The sequence below is a fragment of the Homo sapiens genome, chromosome 11 (genome assembly GCF_000001405.40).
Source record: "Homo sapiens chromosome 11, GRCh38.p14 Primary Assembly".
Classification (NCBI taxonomy): Eukaryota; Metazoa; Chordata; class Mammalia; order Primates; family Hominidae; genus Homo; species Homo sapiens.
This window is the reverse complement of record NC_000011.10, coordinates 74,481,133-74,499,517: the sequence shown is the minus strand read 5'-3', so window position 1 is coordinate 74,499,517 and position 18,385 is coordinate 74,481,133. Positions and strand designations below refer to the sequence as shown.

General features: G+C 41.3%; 1 protein-coding gene, 1 long non-coding RNA gene and 2 pseudogenes across 5 annotated transcripts, besides 2 other annotated features; 2 read left to right on the top strand and 2 right to left on the bottom strand.

Moving 5' to 3' along the window:
• On the bottom strand, nucleotides 985-6,138 carry LIPT2-AS1 (LIPT2 antisense RNA 1). The gene is made up of 2 exons (NR_171028.1): nucleotides 5,545-6,138; nucleotides 985-2,869 (listed from the first exon to the last, which is right to left on the bottom strand). It is a non-coding gene; the product is annotated as an LIPT2 antisense RNA 1 (long non-coding RNA).
• Nucleotides 5,559-5,808: a silencer, noted in NCBI's record as "silent region_3754". NCBI's record gives its function as "represses an Ori minimal core promoter by ATAC-STARR-seq in GM12878 lymphoblastoid cells {active_cell/tissue: GM12878}" and the evidence as "EXISTENCE:reporter gene assay evidence [ECO:0000049][PMID:35858748]".
• On the top strand, nucleotides 5,794-8,999 carry LIPT2 (lipoyl(octanoyl) transferase 2). Of its 3 annotated transcripts, none has more exons than NM_001329942.2 (2): nucleotides 5,794-6,051; nucleotides 7,154-8,999. In NM_001329942.2, exons 1-2 carry the CDS (start codon nucleotides 5,815-5,817, stop codon nucleotides 7,271-7,273), a joined length of 357 nt encoding a protein of 118 aa, NP_001316871.1. In that variant the 5' UTR covers nucleotides 5,794-5,814; the 3' UTR covers nucleotides 7,274-8,999. The 3 variants fall into 3 exon arrangements, with proteins under 3 accessions (NP_001316871.1, NP_001138341.1, NP_001316870.1); NM_001144869.3 differs by having other exon boundaries at nucleotides 5,794-6,280; NM_001329941.2 differs by having other exon boundaries at nucleotides 5,794-6,318.
• Nucleotides 5,919-6,028: a silencer, noted in NCBI's record as "silent region_3753". NCBI's record gives its function as "represses an Ori minimal core promoter by ATAC-STARR-seq in GM12878 lymphoblastoid cells {active_cell/tissue: GM12878}" and the evidence as "EXISTENCE:reporter gene assay evidence [ECO:0000049][PMID:35858748]".
• LOC107984356 (probable ribosome biogenesis protein RLP24) lies at nucleotides 12,035-15,535 on the top strand (annotated as a pseudogene). Its single transcript, XR_007062531.1, has 2 exons — nucleotides 12,035-12,116; nucleotides 13,492-15,535. The product of XR_007062531.1 is annotated as a probable ribosome biogenesis protein RLP24 (transcript).
• CYCSP27 (CYCS pseudogene 27) lies at nucleotides 16,772-17,329 on the bottom strand (annotated as a pseudogene).

The window sequence follows — 18,385 nt, the reverse complement described above, 5'->3', positions numbered from 1 at the left end:
TTTGCAGATGACATGATGGTCTCCATAGAAAATCCTAAAGAATCTACAAAAAACTCATAGGACTAATGAGTGAGTTTAGCAAAAAGTAGGACCCAAGATAAATACACAAAAAATCAACTGCATTTCTATATACTTGTAGCAGACACAGAAATTTTAAATACCATTTACAATCACTCAAAAAACAGTGAAATACTTAGGTATAAATCTAACAAAACACACACATGATGTGTGTGCTGAAAGCTACAAAGTGCTGATGAAACAAGTCAAAGAAGATCTAGATAAATGGTGAGAGATATTGTGTTCATGGACTGGAAGACCCAATGTAGCAAATATGTCAATTCTCCCCAAGTTGATATAAAAGTTTAATGCAATTCCTATAAAAATCCCAACAAGATTTTTTTTGTAGCCACCAATCCAGATCTACCAACAGTACTTTTTTTTTTGAGATGGGGTCTCGCTCTGTCACCCAGGCTGGAGTGCAGTGGCGCAATCTTGGCTCACTGCAAGCTCCACCTCCCGGGTTCATGCCATTCTCCCGCCTCAGCCTCCAAAATAGCTGGGACTACAGGCGCCCACCTAATTTTGTTTTTGTATTTTTAGTAGAGACGGGGTTCCACTGTGTTAGCCAGGATGGTGTCGATCTCCTGACCTTGTGATTCACCTGCCTCAGCCTCCCAAAGTGCTGGGATTACAAGCATGAGCCACCACGCCCAGCCCCAACAGTATTTTTTAGACATACATATCATTCTAAAATTTGTGTGGAAAGGCAAAGGAACTAGAATAACTAAAACCATTTTGAGAAAAAAATAAAGTGGGATCAGGCTACCTGATTTCAAGATTTATTATACAGTTATAGTAATCAAGACTGCAGGGCAGGTTGAATATCCCTTGTCTGAAATGCTTGGGACCAGAAGTGTTTCAGATTTTTTTTTTTTTTAGTTTGAAATATTTACACATACACAATGAGATAGCTTGAGGATAAGATCCCAGTTTAAACATAAAGTTCATTTATGTTTCATATATACTTTATACACATAGCCTGAAGGTAATTTCATACAATATTTTAAATAATTTTGGCATGAAACAAAGTGTGGATACACTGAACCATCAGAAAGCAAAGGTGTTAACATCTCCGCCACCCATGTGGACGATCTGTGATTGTTTGGCATCACCATCATTCCTGATTCTGAATTTATATGTTACCGATAAGCAATCATTTTTTTACACTTATTCACACATAAGTACTTAACAGTAAAAAAAATGACATACCAGTAATACAACGAAAAAAATAGTGTATTCAGGTTAAGTAAGCCAGCACAGTAGTGTCACCAGAATACCTGTATCAGCTGTTAAGCAACAATAACAAATAACAGTAGGCTTTCAGTTTCCAAGTATGATGCTGTTTTGACTAAAAGGTTACTGTACACTGTATTTTATTTTATTTTTAGGTGAGAAGAAGCATCAGAAGCAGTTGAGGGACCAAGAAGTGGGTCCTGTAGAGAGGAAGAAGCATTCCTCTGGATGGCTTTTTTAAATGTTTCTTTCAGAGTCATCTGCCTCATTAATGATGCTTTTTGTCTTAGAAGTCTCTCTTTGATTTTATAAACTGACATGATTTCTTGCTCTGTTATGAATGCATGCTGCTCTAGTCCTTTAATAAGCCCATCACACATTTTTACCATGTCGTCTATAGGCACTTTTTCTGCAGTGTTAACATCATCTTCATTATCATTATCATCATGATCATCTTGATTCAGAACCATTTTTGTTACTTCACCATTGGACAATGAATGAACAACTGGAGCCTCATTATTACTGTTAAAAACATCTTTGATATCCTCTTCTTCCAGCTTACTGACAGTCTCTGGATGTATATTTTTTGTATATGTAAGGAGGTCAGACATTATTTTTTTCTCACTTGACATACTGAATCCTTCAAAGTTACCATCTTGTTCATCATCATTACTGAACTTGCCAGTAAACTTCTCTGTTGCTTCATGACCAGCAGATGCTTTATTGCCACAAGTCTTTAAAAATTTAATGCCATGTCTTTTCTTAAATTTCTGCAACCAGCCTGTTGAATATTCACAGTTCCCCTCAATTTTTAGTTCATTGTGATATATCTTTGCTTGTTTCATGATCAGCATACCATTAAGTGGCATGTGTTCACTGCGACGCTGACGGATCCACTCTTTCAATACACGATCAAGATCTTCATTTTTAGCTTTATGAAGTGTTTTTCTATTTTTCATTAATATCTGCTCATCACTTTCAGCATAAAACTTCAACAGTTTATCCTTCTGTTTCTTCAGGTCATATATGGTGGTCATTCCAACACCATACTCTTCCGTAAGATGTTTCACACTTACACCACTGTCCAGTTTCTCCAACAACTTGACTTTCTGTGCTATAGATAAACATAAATGCTTCCTCTTTTTCTTATCACTGATATTCACAGGGGTATCTTTAGGTCTTTTTGACATTTTCAACAATATATTTATACCACACAGCAGAGAATAAGCAAAAAAATGCAGTGAGTAATGCACACAGGTCTTGGCCCCATGTGGGGCATTGTGGGAAACCTGTTGTTGGCGTGTCCAGCCTGCACGCATGCCATTTAATTACTTTTTGTGGGAATGCATGGGGAAATCCAGGTGTGAGCAGAAAAACTGCAGCAGAAGAGAGCTGGGGGGGTCTTTTTTCCCACTGGGGATGTTGCATGAACTGGGTGTTGTGCACCTGTGTTTTGACTGCAACTCACATAAGGTCAGGTATGAAATTTTCCATTTGTGGCATAATGTCAGCACTCAAAAAGTTTAGGATTTTGGAGCATTTCAGATTTCAGATTTTTATATTACGGATGCTCAGCCTGTATTGGTAGAGGAATAAACACATAGATCAATGGAACAGAATACAGAAACTGGAAATAGGATCACACGAATATGTCCAACTGGTTTTGACAAAGGCATAAAAGCAATTCAATGGAGGAAACATAGCCTTTTGAACAAATGGTGTTGGCGTAATGTAACATGTATATGCAAACAAACAAAAAAGAACAACCGCAACAACAACCAAAGTTTTACACCTATTTTAAAAATTAACTCCCATTTTGTAGGTTGCCTGTTCACTCTGATGGTAGTTTCTTTTGCTGTGCAGAAGCTCTTTAGTTTAACTAGATCCCATTTGTCAATTTTGTGGGGGGGGGGAGGGATAGCATTAGGAGATATACCTAATGCTAAATGACGAGTTAATGGGTGCAGCACACCAGCATGGCACATGTATACATATGTAACTAACCTGCACATTGTGCACATGTACCCTAAAACTTAAAGTATAATAATAATAAATAAAAAATTAACTCAAAATGTATCATAGACTTAAATGTAAAATAAAAAATCTTTAAAAAAATAGGCAGTAGAATGTCTTCAGGATCTAGGGCTGGGCAAAGAGTTATTAAACCAAAAGCATCAATAAAAGGAAAAGTGGATAAATTGGACCTTATCACAATGACAAACTTTTGCTCTGCAAAAGATACGGTTAAGAGGATGAAAATACAAGCCATACACTGTGAGAAACTGTTTACAAAGCACATATTTGACAAAGGGCTAATATCTAGAATATATAAAGATATCTCAAAACTCAACAGTACGAAAAACAATTAATTAGAAAATGGGCAAAAGACATGAACAGACATTTCACTGAAGGGAATATACACATGGAAGATAAGCACATGAAAAGATGTCTTACATCATTAGTCAATAGGGAAATACAAATTAAAATCACAATAAGACACCACCACACACCTATTAGAATGGCTAAAATAAAAGCTAATGCTCATGAGGATGCAGACAAACTTGATCATTCATACACTGGTGGTGGGTATGTAAAATGGTACAGCCGCTCTGGAAAGCATTTTGGCAGTTTCTTAAAAAACGAAACATGTAACTACCATGCAACCCAGCAACTGCACTCCTGGGCATTTATTCCGGAGAGATGAAAACTTAGTTCACACAAAAACCTGTACACAAATGTTTACAGTACCTTTACTCAGAATATCTGAAAACTGGAAACAACCCAGGTGTTCTTCAGTGAGTGAATGGCTAAACAAACTGTGGTACATTCATACTATGGACTACTACTCATCAATAAAAAGAAACGCGCTATTGATACATGCAACAACTTGGATGAGTCTCCAGATAATTATGCTGAGTGAAAAAAAAATTCTAAAAGGTTGCACTCTGTATGATTCCATCTATACAACACAGACGTTTGCCAGGAATTAAGAAGCAGTGTAACTACAAAGAGCAACATGAGGGATCCTTGTGGTGATGAAAATGTTCTGCATCTTGACTTTATCAATGTCAGTATCCTGGTTGTGATATTGTACTACAGTTTTGCAAGGTGTTTCCATTGGGGGAAGCTGGGTAAAGGGTACATATAATCTGTCCATATTATTCCTTACAACTGCATATGAGTGTCCAATTTTCTCAAATAAAACATTTAATTAAAATAGTACATATGTGATTTCTCTTGTCCAAACCCTGATTGATAATTTGAACCCTTCATCAGACTGGAAAATTTCTCTTCTATTCCTAGATTGCTAAGTATTTTGGTCAGAAGAGGTGTTTATTTTTGCCAATAGATTTATCTGTATTTTTTAACATAATCATAGCTTTTCTTTAAAAAAAATTTTTATTATTTCTTCCAATGAAGGCTTTTCTCTTTTAAGGTAAATTACATTGTTTGATTTCAGAATGCAAAACCAACCTTGCATTCCCGGGATAAACCCTACTTCATCATGATGTATTAATCCTTTTATAAATTGCTGGATTTGATTTGCTAATATTTGCTTAGGATCTTTATGTCTATGTTTATGAAATGTTTTTCAGACACCTATGGTGTCTGAAAAGTCCTCAGTAAAAATTCATTGAATTCAGACTTGTTTAAATGATACTCTAACTGCAACATAGCTGATGTTGTGGTCCAGACACCCCCTCAGGGCCTAGACAGTCATTCCCTCAGCTTCTGGAGTTGGTTACTGATGATACACAACTGAGTCCTTCTCTGGGGGCCGCCCTCCACCGAGGGAAGCAGTCTTGCCAAAAAAAAAAAAAAAAAAAAAATCACAGCTCCTCCCCAGGTGTAGCCTGTATCCATGACTGGTCAATGCAAGGATAAGAGTTTCTGGCCCCCTTGCTTTAATGTGGAACTACTCTGAAGGGTCATCCTAGGCTCCAAGCATGCCTTGGGATTGGTCAAGGCCTCTGCTGCAACTGTTTTGCAGGCCAACTTCTTCCTCTGCCTACAAATTCCTGCTTCCTTCACTTTCTTACAGGTGCTGATCTTTAAGTTCTCCCTACCTCCACCAATAACCTTGTAGGCAAGCTAATCTCCCTCTTGCGTCCCCCAGGGGCTCAACACAGGACACACCACGTTACCCTGTTTTATTTTTCTTTTCATAGCATTTAACACCTTATACGTGAAATAACCTTATTTACTTAACACTTAAAATACTTATCGTCTGCTGTAAGAATGTAAGCTTACCAGGACAGATCTTTCTCATACGCTATGCACCGCTGTATCAAGCGCCTATGGCAGGGCCTGCAGAACACAGCAGGCACTAAATACTGGTTGTTGAATGAACCGATGAGTCTGGCCCCGCGCTTTTGGTCCTGGGATCACATATCCCCCCTCCAGCTTTTAACACGCACCTGGGAGCTGCGGCTCGGGGTGTGCCCCCGAGTCCCCGCCCCTCAGGCCACGCCCCCAGGCCCACGGAGAGGGCGGGGCCCCGCGGACGCAACGGTGGGCACGATGCGGCAACCCGCCGTTCGGTTGGTGCGCCTGGGTCGGGTGCCGTACGCCGAGCTACTGGGGCTGCAGGACCGCTGGCTGCGGCGGCTGCAGGCCGAGCCAGGCATTGAGGCCCCGTCGGGGACTGAGGCGGGCGCGCTCCTGCTCTGCGAGCCCGCGGGGCCCGTGTATACGGCCGGGCTGCGCGGCGGCCTGACGCCCGAGGAAACTGCGCGGCTACGGGCCTTGGGCGCCGAGGTGCGCGTCACAGGCCGCGGTGGCCTGGCCACCTTCCACGGCCCGGGCCAGCTGCTTTGCCACCCGGTACTCGACCTGCGGCGTCTCGGCCTGCGCTTGCGCATGCACGTAGCGTCGCTGGAGGCGTGCGCCGTGCGCCTGTGCGAGCTCCAGGGCCTGCAGGACGCCCGCGCGCGGCCCCCGCCCTACACTGGCGTCTGGCTAGACGATCGCAAGATCTGCGCGATCGGTGAGCGCCGCGGAGCAGGGCGGTACCTGAGAGCCGAGGTCGGAGCTTGAGGCCTGGGGGCGGGGTCTGACGGGGCTGGACCAACGGAGGTGAGGGCCGGGAGGAGGCGTATCTAGCGCGGGTTTTGAATCACAGCTACCCGCTGCGTTTGAGTTTTTAAGCCCCTTTTCAGATATCGTATATTCAGAAGCAGAAGGCTCCTCACATCTAGTCCAACACGCATTTCTGTTAAGGGAGAGACAAGAGAAGTGAATTGCCAGGTTACGTCCTGCGAATGACAATGTCATGGCAAATAAGGGTGCTAATTTTCAAACTTTTTTTTTTTTTTTTTTTTGAGACAGAGTCTCGCTTTGTCACCCAGGCTGGAGTGCAGTGGCGCAATCTCGGCCCACTGCAAGCTCCGCCTCCCGGGTTCACGCCATTCTCCTGCCTCAGCCTCCAGAGTAGCTGGGGCTACAGGCGCCCACCACCAGCCCGGCTAATTTTTTGTATTTTTAGTAGAGATGGGGTTTCACCGTGTTAGCCAGGATGGTCACGATCTCCTGACCTCGTGATCCGCCCGCCTCGGCCTCCCAAAATGCTGGGATTACAGGCGTGAGCCACTGCGCCTGTCCCCAAGCTTTTTTTTTTTTAAGTATTGGAATCTGTTAAAAGACATTTCCTGGAATCCTCATGATGAGTGCAGCTGCTTGAAGCCACGCACCCCTTCCTTTCATTTGTTTCCTTTTCCCATCTGAGTACAATCCCTTGTTTCTCCAGAAACAAAATTTGAAAACCGGTGATCTAATCCAGTTTTCTCATCGCCCTGAGAGGGACACCAAAGCCCGGAGAGTGGAGGGTATCTACTCTAAGACCCTTTGGCTTGCCTTGCAGGAGTCCGCTGTGGAAGGCACATCACATCCCACGGCCTGGCTCTCAACTGCTCTACCGACCTCACGTGGTTTGAGCACATCGTGCCCTGTGGACTGGTTGGGACAGGCGTCACTTCCTTGAGTAAGGAGCTCCAGAGGCACGTCACCGTGGAAGAAGTAATGCCACCTTTCCTTGTGGCCTTTAAGGAGATCTACAAGTGCACACTGATCTCAGAGGACAGCCCCAACTGAAGAGTACTCATAACAGCCAGGATGCTCCTGCCTTGGGAAGCATGAAGTCTGACTTGAGTCACCTACTGAAACCCAGATTTTAGACCTGGCCTGTCATTCACTGATCATGAAACTAAGGACATACCATGAGCTCTGAGCCACTATTTTCATATGTATCCTGTTTTATTTATATCTTCCCCACCTACCTCAGAGATACTAGATGTGACAATACTGTGAAAAGCAACACATGCTATATAAAACATTAGCACTGCTATTGACAGCAGTGTCTCAGAGAAATTCAGATGTCATAGATTGTTATTTCTCGATTGTTGATGTCATAGATTGTCATTTCTCAATTGTTGCTTCCTCAATACTGTGTCTAACTGAGCAATTCTGGGCTCTAGTTCCTTTGATTTTGTGGGAATCAAATCTCTGAATGGCCCAGGTGAAGGTGATGTGATGTAGTGCTTTTTCATTCTCAAGAGACCTGGGTTCTTTCTGCAATAAAGGGAAAAGGGAAGAACCTTCTAAGAATAAAATGGGATCTTACCTTCCTGGGTTTGATTCCCCAAGTTTGATAATTTAGCAGTTTTTAGTTGGGTTACCCTGAGCTAGGCCAAAGACTGGAGGAAGGATAAGAATAATTTCTCACACTGTACAAATGCCAAAGATAGAAGTGAGTTTTTCTTATATGAGACCTCTAAATTTGTAAGGCTGCGTATTATCTGTTGCTGTGTAACAAATCATCAAAACTTAGTGACTTAACAGTAAACATTAATTATCTCGTTTGTGGGTCAGGAATTTGGGGGAAGCTTAGCTGGGTGTTTCTAGGTTAGGGTCTCACACGAACTTGCAGTTAAGATGTCAGCTGGAACTGCACTTATTCAAAGGCTTGGCTGGGCTGGAGGATCAGCGCTCCATATGGTGCATTCACTTGCGTGGTTGGTTATGGTTGCTGACAAGAGGCCTCAGTTCCTTACCGTGTGGACCTCCCTATAGGGTTGCTTAATTGTTCTCATGACAGGGCAACTGGCTTCCCCTAGAGCAAGTCATGCCAAAGAGAGACAAGCTGGAAGCCACAATGTTTTTTATGACCCAGCCTCAGAAGTCACACAGGCATTTCTGTAGTCTTCTAACAGATGAGCCCTGTTCAGTGTGGAAGGGACTGCACTAGGGCAACAGAAGGTGAGGATTATTAGGGGCCATCTTGAAGAATGGCCACCACAGCCTATTAAGAGTGGAAAGAGCCTCGAATGAGAAGTCAGGGGACCCTGGTTCCAGTTCTGGCTCTGTGGAAAAGTCATTTACTCTCTGGTCTTCAGTTTCTCCTTAAACCAGTGCTGTTCAATAGAAATACAATGCAAGCCACATTGTAATTTGACATTTTCTAGGATCCATGTTAAAAAGGTAAAAGAAATGGGTGATGTTATTTTTATTTTATTTTATTTTTATTTTTTTTAAGAAATGAGGCTTTGCTATGTTGCCCAAGCTGGTCTCAGACTCCTGGGCTCAAGGGATCCTTCTGCCTCAGCCTCACAAAGTGCTGGAATTACAGGTGTGAGCCACCATGCCTGGTCTATGATGTTAATTTTAATATTTTAATTAACCCAATATATAAAAATATCAATATAAAGCAATATAAATGTTTTCTTGAGATATTTCATATTCTTTTTCTCATGCTGAGTCTTCAAAATATAGTGTGTATTTTACACTTATAGCACACCTCATTTTGGACTAGCTACATTTTAAAAGTGCTCATTGGTCCCATGAGGACTGACCATTCTCACATCTAAAGTCCTTTTGAGTTCCCAGGGTTCTGTGGTCTCACTGGCTTCTAGGAAGAAAGGTGAATCCTCCTACATCTGAGGTCTGATTTTTTTTAATGCAAATAATTTATATCAATTATTCAAGCTGAAAAGGACTTTAGAGGTATATTCCTACCCCCTCATTGTAAAGAGATGAAAGCAAGGCTTAGGAAAAACCTTCTCAAAGTCAAAGTAAATTAATGCCAAAGCCAGTACTGAGTCTTAGGTATAAGCCCCTTTCTCATGCTCTTTTCCTGCTGTGCACACTGATTTAGAGCTTGGAACAATATGGTTTACGTGTCATGGACATTCCATCAGTATTACTTGATTGATGGTTTATCACCTGTAATTTGGTCCATATTCTTCCTGGGCCTTAGTCTCCCATCCACAGGGCTACTGCTGCTGTTGTAGGGGTGTGGAAGTGAGGAGTCATTGATAATTACTTTGTTATTATTGCCAAAAAGGAAAATAATTATTCCAGGAAAAGTGGAGTTAGATTCTCATAGATGGAAGGCTGTGCACAGTGTTTCTACCTATCTGATACTCAGCCTCCCTCTCTAGCAACCCTAACAAATGACCATACAACTTGTTCTTGAATGCTTCCAGAGACTGGAAAAGAAATAGACATGTACTCAGCACTCATTTATTGCCACATACGGTCATACTGTGTTAGCCTCTTAAGTACGTGCTCTCATTTGACAGCCTGTTCCATTCTTCTGGACCATAGAGAATCTGTACACAATTGTAGTGGCTGATTTGCTTGACCTTCCTGAACCTCAGTTTCATTACATGAAACAAGGATAGTGGTAAGAATTAGATGACATAATTATAGGTAAAGCATTGAGGGTAATGTTGGCCCAGAGTAAAAGCTCAGTAAATCTTATCATTATTATTACCGTCTGTCCTCCATGAGCCTTCTCCAGGGAAATTATCCCCAGATCCTTTGAGTTCCCCTCAAGGCAATAGGCTCCGCAAGAGTAGAGCTGCTTCTGCCTTGTTTCCTTCTGCATCTCCAGCATGTAGCACTGGGCTTGACATACACAACGCTATTTGAAAATATCGATTAAGGGGAATTGAACTATTTAAAGTCTCCTCCCATCCTGCCCATCTGTCTGTGGACCAGCCCCGGCTCATGTGTGTCCCATTAGGTGCAGCGCTCACAGCTGAGCACAGCAGTCTTGGTGTGGACAGACCAGCACAGAGTACAGGAAACTGTTGCTTCCTGTGCTGGACTTGGGGGATACAAACTGGCCCTCATGGTGCTGGCCTGCAGATGTGTTCTCTTAGGCTTACAGGATTTTATGTATGTGTGTATGTATCTGGTTAAGTTTAGTAATTGCCAACATTTAAAAAATGGGAAATTGTCATGTAAAAATTTGGTTTTCTGGCTTCTCATGAAAATTAGAGAGATCTGGAAACATTGGGCCATCTGCCTGATGATTGGAAGCAGGTACGGTTTTGTTGTTGTTTTGTGTGTGTGTGTGTGTCGGAGTCTCACTCTATCGCCCTGGGTTCAAGCAATTCTCCTGCCTCAGCCTCTCAAGTAGCTGGGATTACAGGCATCCACCACCATGCCCAGCTAATTTTTGTATTTTTAGTAGAGACAGAGTTTCACCATGTTGGCCAGGCTGGTCTTGAACTCCTGGCCTCAGGTGATCCACCCGCCTCGGCCTCCCAAAGTGCTGGAATTAACAGGCATGAGCCACCATGCCCAGCCAGAAGCAGGTATGTTTTTAAAATTGCATTTTCCAGTTACCTGCAGCACCTCCCCTCTCTTCCTCCACTTGTTGACATTAGCTTCCTGGCCCCTGTAGGCATTCGAGTTGGTGACCCCTAATCTAGACATTTCCTTGTTCTGAGACACAGCAGAGTCTCAGTGGACCCATCACAGTATTGGTTTTATATCGTAGTCATGGGGAGCCCTTTAAGGAAGGGCCATGACTTACTCATTCCTGTGTCCCTGGCCCCTGGCTCAGGGCCTGGCACAGAATAGGCAGCAGAAAATATATGATAGTTTTTAATCTTCACCAAATATTTCTGGCTCTCTGCTTTCTGGACACATGGCAGGATTGTGCTTTGTGGCCCCAACATGGGTGAGTAGGAGCAAGGTTAACTTCTTTTGGTTAATTTATGAATGGAGGTGGCATGTCACTTCTGAGCTGGAGCATTGACTAGCTGGTGCCAGGCCCTTCAGAGTTTCCCTCTGGAACAGTGACCAACAACACTGAAGATGGTGGCTGCTTCCTGAGGGACTGCAATGATCAGAGCCCCCTGCTGACGATGGACATGCATTGGAGTTCAGCCACTTACATGTCACAGCACAACCTAGCCTGCTATAACTAATGTAATTGTTTATATTAATCAGAACTCTTATATTTGTAAGTGTAGAAACCCAATTCTAACATAAGCCAAAAAAAAGAACAAGGGTGGGGGTTATTGGAAAAGGTACTGGAGTCTCATAGAATCCAAGAGTAAGGCAGCAGCTGAAGAACAGAACCAGAGTGTGAAGCTCTTTAGGAACTTAGGTAGTCTTTTCCCTCCCACTCTCTGTCATGCTTTGTGGCATGTGTTTGCTTCATTTTGTCTCGCTTCAGTCCAGCTTTCTCTATTTCCCAGGCCACCTGGTAGAAAATGGCTGCTGCTGCTCCTGCCACTGCTGCTGCTATCCATGAATGTTGGGGTAGAGTCAAGGTTTCTTATTTGAGCAGCTGGGTGGATGGATGCTAAAGATACTGCTGGGATGGAGAACACCAGATAAGGATCAAGTTTGGAGAGGAAGATGATGAGTTCAGTTTTTAATAAATCAAGTTTGAGATACTCATGGGAGAGGCAAGCAGAGAGAGCCAAGAGGCAGTTGGGTCTGGAGCATGAGTGGGATGAGTGAAGGTTTAGGTGCAGAAGCTCTAACAGAGGAGAGCAGAGGACTGATAAATGTGAGACATAGGCTGTGTGAGGCACAGGCTGGCAAGGAGGAGTAGGCCAAGTAGACCGAGAAGTAGAGAATAAGTGGTGCAGGGACACAGAATGGGACATTATGACCGTCTCATCCTCTGGCAGTCTCTTCCTCTGGCAACCCGGCAAGATAGGCAAGGTTGTTTTATGGATGAGAAAACCAAGGCTCCGAAAGGCCAAGTGCCTTGTGAGAGGTCATGTTGTTGATAAGGGCAGGGTGAGTCTGGGCTCCCAGTGTGGGCTCTGAAGGGCAAGTGAGGCAGGCCTGCAGGAGGAGCCCCCAGGAACAGGTGGTCAGTGGGTAGGCAAAGCAGGAGGATGTAGAACAGGAGGCCAGAGTTAGGCTGAGGTCTAGCTGTGGCATCAGGTCAGGCTACTGCTGTGGGTTCCTGGCTCTCCTTCCTGCTTGGACAGATCCCACCTCCGGTTTCCCACTGGGGCCTTTCCTTAAGGAAGGAAGCTGAGCGTATGAAGGAGGATATTTAACACCCTGGCTTTCCTCCTTTGAAAAAGCCTCTTCTTGTTTGTTCAGAGTCTTTTCCTCAAAATAAACAGATTGTCCAGAGTCTGGTGAATGAGTGCTGAGGGTGAGGACGTGACCAACTGCAGTTACTAGTCCAGTGTCTTGTTCCCCCACTGAGGCTGGCAGGAAACTGAACAGAGCCAGCTCTGGCAGCGTGATCAGGTATCAGGCACCTCGCTTTGTGTAAAAGTCTCTGACAGGGTGTCCCTATGTTGCCCAGGCTGGTCTCGAACTCCTGGGCTCAAGAGATCCTCCTGTCTCAGCCTCCCGAAGTGCTAAGTAGGATTACAGGCACGAGCCACCACACCTGGCTGTAAAAATGTACTTATTCTCCAGCCTCTTTTGTATAAACCATAGTAAGGGATGGGAGTAATGATGTTATCTGTGAAAATCGCCACCATTTACCCATAAGACAAAACTTGTTAAAGCCTCCTGAGTCTAACCTAGTGTATCAGGCCATTTTTCACACACAAAAACATCCTTTTCAGGATTTAACGGAATCTATTGTTTCCCCTAGGTTGAAAAACAACTCGAAGACGCTTTAAAGTACCTTCTTGGGCTGGGTTACATGGTTCCCAGCCTAGGTTTCAGAATTTTGCTTAAGGCTAGTTTTAGAAACCCTTGAATTCAGAAAAGTTAATTCAGAAATTTGATAAACAGAACTATTTAAAAACTAACTGGAAAGATTATATGTTCTTTCTGAATTATTCAGAAATTATGCATCATTTTCTTTCAAGAATGACAGGGTCAGAATGTGGAATTCCAAGATAGCTCTTGACTTCCTCTCAAGCTCCATGTGTGGTCAGTGGAGGCCCATGCGAGCTCAGCATGTGTACTAAGAAGTGTTAGTTTCTTTGGGGCCCATCTACCCTGACCACATCATGATGTTCATCTGCAGCTATTGCAAGGTGTTCAGATTGTGTAAATACAAATGGCATAAAAACTTTAAAAGAAGCGCAATTCTGGAAAGATTAGGTGGACTAAAGCATTTTGTAAAGCAACTGGTAATAATGAGCTTACAGTGGGTAATTCATTTGAATTTGAAAAATACAGAAATGAGCCTGTCAAATACCGGCAAGAACTATGGAATAAAACTACTGATGCAATGAAGACAGTTGAAAAGATCAAACAAATGCTAAGCTAAATTTATAATGAACAAATTGAAGAAAAAAAAGGACTACAGAAAGTTCAGGACATCAAAGAAGTCAGGCAAAACTCATCTTGACACCTCTTGCAGGCAAAGGAAAGCAGCTGGAAGAAAAGGTGATACAACAGTTATAACAGGATGCAGACACGGAAGAGGTTTCCTAAAAATCTCATTGTCTATAACCGTTTCTATATTTACATTTGAAAATCTCCTTTGGAGACTTAGAACCTCTAAATTATTGACTTATTTTTTATATAAGGTCACTCAAATGAAAGGTGATTAAAAAATCATCTACATTGCTGTCTACAAAACATCAGACAATATGGATGTTAGATTGCATCTCATTGTTAACTCTTTACTGATAGATATGTTTGTAAATATGGAAGTGAAATGTGGGCATAAAATGGTTATGCTATTTGGTTAATGGTACTAGGCAACATTTCTGTAATTAATGACATTCAAAAATTTATGGCTAGTGATATATATAAAGTAAAATTTTCTTTGCAGTAAAATATGCCTTTTATTGTTATAGAAGGGAGGATATAAGGAACCAACAGTTTGTATGAAAATAGCTCAAATAATATCTTCTATTTTGATTTTAGTATTTCTTATTTTGGTTTATTAGCATCTTAGAACAAAATGGCCTTATATAATGAAGCCCAGTTATGCTGGACTGTTTTTGACCTGTTTTAATTGTTCTGACAGATAATTGGGGATGAGGGCCAAATAGTGTTTGCCTGAAATGACTGACACTATATAATTTCTGCTTTGGCAAATACTCAGTTCTAACTTGTGATTCCTGGTAGAACAAGCTTTATTTTTCGAGCCTAGCAGTGATCTAGAAGCAGATGTTATCTCAGTGCCTTTTAAAATTTGTTGTGTGGTTTTCTTTTAAAAAGCCACACAATAATTTTGGAAAACAATGTATGGGTAGAACATCTGTCTGTTATTTGCACACAAAACCACTTTTAATGGGTACAAAGTTAAATTAGGAGGAATATGTTCAGATGCCCTATTGCACAGTAGGGTGAGTACAGTTAATGTATTGAATGTTCTTGCTACAAATAAATGATAAATGTTTGAGTTGATGGGCATGCTAATTACACTGATTTGATCGACACACATTGTGTGTGAAACAGTACATACACCATATTTACAATTATGTATCAGTTTAACATTTTAAAAAACATTTCTAATGTAAAAAGTATGTCTCAAACTGTAGATTAACTTCTTGATTTATATTTAAATATGAATCTTAAGCAAAATAGTGAAAATAATCATCTTGATTTAGTGTTTTTCTCCCATATGTGAATTGTATATACTTAGGTGAGGACAATAAAATCAACTGAACTGTAAGCTTAGAATAGGACTGAGGGGTAATTTTGCATAGCAGCTTTACTAAGGGTACATTGTTGCTTCAAAACTCTCTCTCTCTCTCTCTCTCTCTCTCAATAAATGGCCAAAGGGATTAGTACTTTACCTTTGGAGGTCCTCAAAGCGTTATTTGGAGTTGATAATACTTCAGCTAGAACCAAGTAGAATCTGTTTTTTTCTGAGGAGTATCGGTAGCATAAATGTGATTATAAACAAAGTACAGTTAAGATGTATGTATGCAATGACTGCTATTTATACAAAATTTAAATCTGCAAATAGAATCAACATGCTTATGGGTTATTAAAATTGTCTAAATTCTTAGGTTCTTTATACTACACGTGCTGATTTACAAATAAATGATTTATTAAGTGATTTTTTAAAAAGTCTCTCTCTGAAAACTCCCATGGAAACCAGATTTTTGTAATCTAAATCTGATTTTTCAACCAAATTTTTATAATATTATCATACCATTTTATAATATCTATAAAGTTAAAAAAACTTGTACTCACATCTAACACAATCCTTTTCACTGATGTGTGTTTTCAGTATTTGATCATGAGCAGACATATTTTTATGTACTTCTAATATGTGGACAACATTTTGTATACTTTTTTTCATCATCTGTGATTTTGTTTTTAATTAAGTCTTATGATCACACATAATTTTTAAATTTGTGTATATCTCCTCTACTTTAATCCTTTTAAGTCAGCAAAAGCACCATTCCCGATCACAAATACACAAGAGTTCTACAGTTTTAGGTTTCTGAATGGCTGTTTAAAGACAATCCTAAATTACAACTTAGTCTGACTTAGATTGTAAAGAATTCAAGAGTGAGGTTTAACTTGCTACTATTTTTAAAGCATTTGACCTTATAGATCATCTATAAAATGTGAGAAGTGTTAAATAATCCTTATTTGATATTACACATAAACCACACTAAAATACCTTTCAATAAGTAAAAGGAACCATTTTAGACACAGGGAATTCAAATTAGATTGGCATAGTTAAGGCCAAAAATTTAAAGTATACATTGCTACCTTATCATCAACCCTTGCCTTTAAGAAGCAAGTGAACACAAAACACAGGTGAACCTTGCTTGGTTCTGAGACAGTGAAGGAATTTCCCAGTATTTAAATATATTTACATATCCAGTTATATTAATCTAAATATAAAACCAATCTCCAATAAGTTTTTTTTTTTTTTGAGGCGGAGTCTTGCTCTGTTGCCCAGGCTGGAGTGCAGTGGTGCGATCTCGGCTCACTGCAACCTCTGCCTCCTGGGTTCAAGCGATTCCTCTGCCTCAGCCGCCTCAGTAGAGTAGCTGGGGACTGCAGGCGTGCACCACCATGCCCGGCTAATTTTTGTATTTTTAGTAGAGATGGGGTTTCACCATGTTGGCCAGGCTGGTCTTGAACTCCTGACCTCAAGTGATCTGCCCACCTCAGCCTCCCAAAGTGCTGCGATTACAGGTGTGAGCCACCACACCCAGCCCAATCTCCAATAAGTTTTAAGATGGCATTCACCATCTTTGGAAAGTTGAACATTACTAACAAAGTCTAATCATAGCTTTAGAAGGGGTAAACGGTGATAGCATTTACTGAATCGCAATTACTATTAAAATTCAAAAAACCAAACATATTCATTTAACTACAACCCCATCTTAGTTTTAAATCAGGACTGCCCAACAAAATATTCTGTCAGTCATTCATGATCTGAATTCTGGTGTATGAGAGCTATCAAATTGTGGTACACATAAAAAAGTCATGAGACATTTCTGTTTTGTAATAAATAAGGCAGTGGCCAATTATTACTCATTAGTAGCTTTTTTGAGATAAGCTATCAAGTCTGCCCTTTCTGCCTTCTTCTTAATGTGGGCAAAGATCATTTTTGTTCCAGAGATGTACTTCTAGGGATTCTCCAAATGCTCCATCAGGGTATCCTCTCCCCAGGTGATGCGTTTGTTCTTACTGGCATCTGTTAAAGAGAATCCAATGGCCTGGACGGTGGAGATTAGGCCTCGTTTTGTCCTTGCCTTTGTTTTCCACGGTGTAGCACTGGGCATACTTCTCAGTACAAATCCTCTTGCCTTTCTCAATATCACCCATATTTAATTCTCTCTTTTGTCGCTGGCGCTAGGAAGGTTCCCACTCAGAAGCCGGACGTCCCGCTCTGTGTACTTTTTTTTTTTTTTTTTTTTTTTTTGAGATGGAGTCTCACTCTGTCGCCCAGGCTGGAGTGCAGTGGCACGATCTCTGCTCATTGCACGCTCCGCCTCCCGAGTTCACGCCATTCTCCTGCCTCAGCCTCCCGAGTAGCTGGGACTACAGGCGCCCGCCACCACGCCCGGCTAATTTTTTGTATTTTTAGTAGAGATAGGGTTTCACCATATTAGCCAGGATGGTCTCGATCTCCTGACCTCGTGATCCGCCCACCTCGGCCTCCCAAAGTGCTGGGATTACAGGGGTAAGCCACGGCACCTGGCCCTCTCTGTGTACTCTTTTAAACCAAATATCATGCTACAAACATTTTCCCACATTCCTAGTCTTTATAACTATATTTTTGAATGCCTTAATTTTTTTAACTTTGATCAATTTTTAATAGAGATAATCCATACATATGGAATAAAATTTAAAAGGTGCAGAATAGTGGCATTGAAATGTAAGTCTTGCTCCTCCCCCTCTCCCCTGTAAACCCAGATCCCTTCCCTGGAGGGCTACATAATGAAAAGTGTCTTATTTATATACTTCAGAGTTATTTTATACATATATAAGCACACATGACTATACACATTCTTTTTTGTATAGTAGCATACCCTATGCACAGTCTTGCACTTGGGTGATTGTTTCAGACCAGTTTATAAAGGGCATCCTCATTCTTTTTAGTGACTATGTAGTATTCCATTGAATGATTTACCATGACTTATTTAGTCTCTATTGAGGACATTTAGTTTATTACTAATCTTAGGCTTTTACAAACAAAGCTATAGTGAGAATTTGTGTGCATGTATGTGTGTATGTGTGTCTGTGTGTGTTTCATACATGGTGAGTACAGAGGCTGCATTTCTAGAAATGGTTTTCTGAGTCAAAGGATATGTGTATTTTAAATTTAGTAGACATTGTCATAATTGCCTTCCATAAAAGTTATACCAATTTATACTCCTGTCAGCAATATAATGATGTAATGCCTGCATTTTAAATTTCCAGCACCTTAGAAAGCTTTTTC